The sequence below is a fragment of the Homo sapiens genome, chromosome 14 (genome assembly GCF_000001405.40).
Source record: "Homo sapiens chromosome 14, GRCh38.p14 Primary Assembly".
Lineage (NCBI taxonomy): Eukaryota > Metazoa > Chordata > Mammalia > Primates > Hominidae > Homo > Homo sapiens.
Window position 1 is genome coordinate 66720405 of NC_000014.9, and position 2921 is coordinate 66723325.

The 2921-nt window shown below is 35.3% G+C and overlaps 1 protein-coding gene and 1 long non-coding RNA gene across 21 annotated transcripts in view; both read left to right on the forward strand.

Annotated features, from left to right (window-relative positions):
• The window catches only part of GPHN (gephyrin), a 1227209-nt gene that overhangs the window by 212258 nt on the left and 1012030 nt on the right, over positions 1-2921 (forward strand). The gene's annotated exons all lie outside the window — the stretch shown is intronic.
• LOC124903332 (uncharacterized) overlaps positions 2302-2921 on the forward strand; it is a 32329-nt gene continuing 31709 nt past the window's right edge. The window contains exon 1 of the long non-coding RNA XR_007064219.1: positions 2302-2830. This is a non-coding gene — a long non-coding RNA (uncharacterized LOC124903332). The remainder of the gene's footprint in view (positions 2831-2921) is intronic.

The following is a 2921-nucleotide window of genomic DNA, read 5'->3' on the forward strand; positions in this document are numbered from 1 at the left end:
TTTGCTGGGGGTGGTTGTGCACATCTAAAATTTCAGCTACTTGGGAGGCTAAGGCATGAGAATCACTTGAACATACTTCTTGAATAAAGAAGTCACTTCCTGGACTCTAAGCCAAGAGTCTAAGCCAAATATCAGACCAGTTTTTCCAGGGGGCCTTATTAGCATTCATTTGTTAAAGTCAACCTTAGTTTCTTAAAGCTGACCATCATATCTAATTTTGCACATCATACTCACTAATGGTTTCCAGATTCTGGAGGAATCAAGTAGAGAGAAAAAGTAATTATTTCAATTTTATTTATAAAAATATAATCTAGGCCAGGCATGGTGGCTTATGCCTGTAATCTCAGCATTTTTGGAGTCCAACGCAAGTGGATAGCTTGAGCCTAAGAGTTCAAGGCTGCAGTGAGCTATGATCACACCGCTGCACTCTTGCCTTATTGATGGAGAGAGATGCTGTCTCTTTGTAAAAAACAGAAAAACATAACCTACCACATTGCGGTAAACTATAAATATCCTAAGAGAAAATGCTTTTCTTAAATCTGGAAGCCAAAGCACAAAAGAGCCAGCAAAATTTTGAAGAAAAGGTTATTAAATAATTATAATCACCCTTTTCAGTTTATTTAGTCAAATCTAATTAAGTCTTATTCTGCTGTATCTTGGCTTGGCAATTTTATGAGCTCATCAGTTGCTTTATTAGAGTTGTGGAAATTCTTACCCAGTCCAATGGTATGATCTTAAAGTTATCAGAAACCTTTATTCTGTAGCACTTTTCAGAGCCTTTTCCATTAGACACTTTGGCCTATATCAGATTGTAAATGCTTTCAGAGAAGAATCAAAGTAAAACAATAAATTGAGAATGACAAAAGGCTTAAAATCACCATAAAGATCTGATGAGAGTTTATTTGCTAAGGAAATTTATTTATTGCTGTGGCTAATGATATTTTAACATAATAATTGGAATTGTGACTGGTAACATTATGCCAAACCTATCATGAATAACATATTGACAAATTTCTATCAACTTTATATAACTCCTGAAACACTTATATTAATAACATATATCTATATACATATAACCTAAAGAAGATATAGCATCAGTTCTTATTTGACAGTACTTCCTCTGTAATTTAACAAATCAAACTAATTAACATAACATCTCTCTTTTACAAGGCAAGAGACAAATCCTTTGATATTTTCCAGGAACCCTCTGGGAACTCTCAATGTTAATTTAAAGTCAAAGATACGTTATGTAGAATTTGATTTGGGCCGGGCACAGTGCCTCATGCCTGTAATCTCAACACTTTGGAAGGCCGAGGCAGGCGAATCACCTGAGGTCAGGAGTTTGAGACCAGTCTGGCCAACATGATGAAACCTCGTTTCTATCAAAAATACAAAAATTAGCTGGGCATGTTAGTGCCCGCCTGTAATCCCAGCTACTCGGGAGGCTGAGGCAGGAGAATTGCTTGAACCTGGGAGGCGGAGCTTGCAGTGAGCTGAGATTATGCCATTGTACTCCAGCCTGGGCAGTAAGAGCGAAACTCTGTCTCAAAAAAAAAAAAAAAAAAAAGGAAAAAAAAGAATTTGATTTAATTTGGGAAAGTTTGTCAAAAATGTCAGAAGGTTTTAAACACTAGAATCACACATCATTATAAAACAATACTTATATATAAGTATTGTTTATTACTTTATTACTTATAAACAAAGTAATAAAATATTTTATAAGCACATATAGAAGTTACATAGTTGTAAATAAAACTGAGTACTTTTAACATTGAAAGGATTCCGCTTTTTTAAGTAATCAAAATAACTGATAAAGGTAACATGAAATTGTTCAAAATAACTGATAAAGGTAACATGAAATTGTTCTAACATACAAAACCTTGATTTTCTAGGCAGATTACTTAAAAACTGGGGGAAAACCCTTTCACGATATCGTTATCAAGAGCAGACAGGTAATCCAAGAAAAGTATGTCATTTTAACAGAGAACACAGAATTCTAATATGGCATGTGTTCTATTAATACTAAGGCTTTGTTTGTTTGTTTTTTGTTTTTAAGAGACAAGGTCTCACTCTCTGTTGTCCAGGCTGGAGTGCAGTGTAGCTATCATAGCTCACTGCAGCCTCAAACTCCTGGGCTCAAGTGATCCTCCCACCTCATCCTTTTGAGTAGCTAGGACTACAAGGATATGCCGCCATGCACAGCTAATTTGCCTAATTTTTGTGGAGATGGGGTCTCACTGTGTTGCCCAGCCTGGCTTGAACTCCTGGCTTCAAGTGATCCCCCCACCTCTAATGCTCAAATTGCTGGGATTACAGGAGTGAGCCACCATGCCTGGCCACTAAAGCTTATTAAAAAACAACAACAACAAAATACTTTTGACTAAATCTGTCCAATCTTAGCCAACTCTACCACACAAAATAAGATCCTGTTTCCAAGATTACTTTTCCACAAACCTGTAGTTTTAAAAAATATATTCAGTTTTTGTCCTGTTCTTTTTTCTCTTTCTCTTTGGCACAACCAGTCATTCTTACTTTAGGACAAAGTGACACTCTTTTTCCCTTAACAAACCCACATCCTTCATTCTTTTCCTCATCAAAAAACACATTCTACTTCCCTTGAATACTTTGCATATAGGGTTTTTTCCTGATTAGATTTTTTTGTGTGTGTGACAGGGTCTCACTCTGTCGCCCAGGCTTGATTGCAGTGGCACAATCGTAGATCACTGTAACTTTGCACTGCTGGGCTTAAGCATACCTCCACAACCAACTAATTTTTTAATTTTTTGTAAAGAGTTCTCTGTTGTAAAGACTCATCTACTTGTAAAGACGAGTTATAAAAAGTTTATAACCTTTTATGAATATAATTTATAAAAGTTTATAACTTTATAAATATAAACTTTTATAAATTATATTTATAAAAG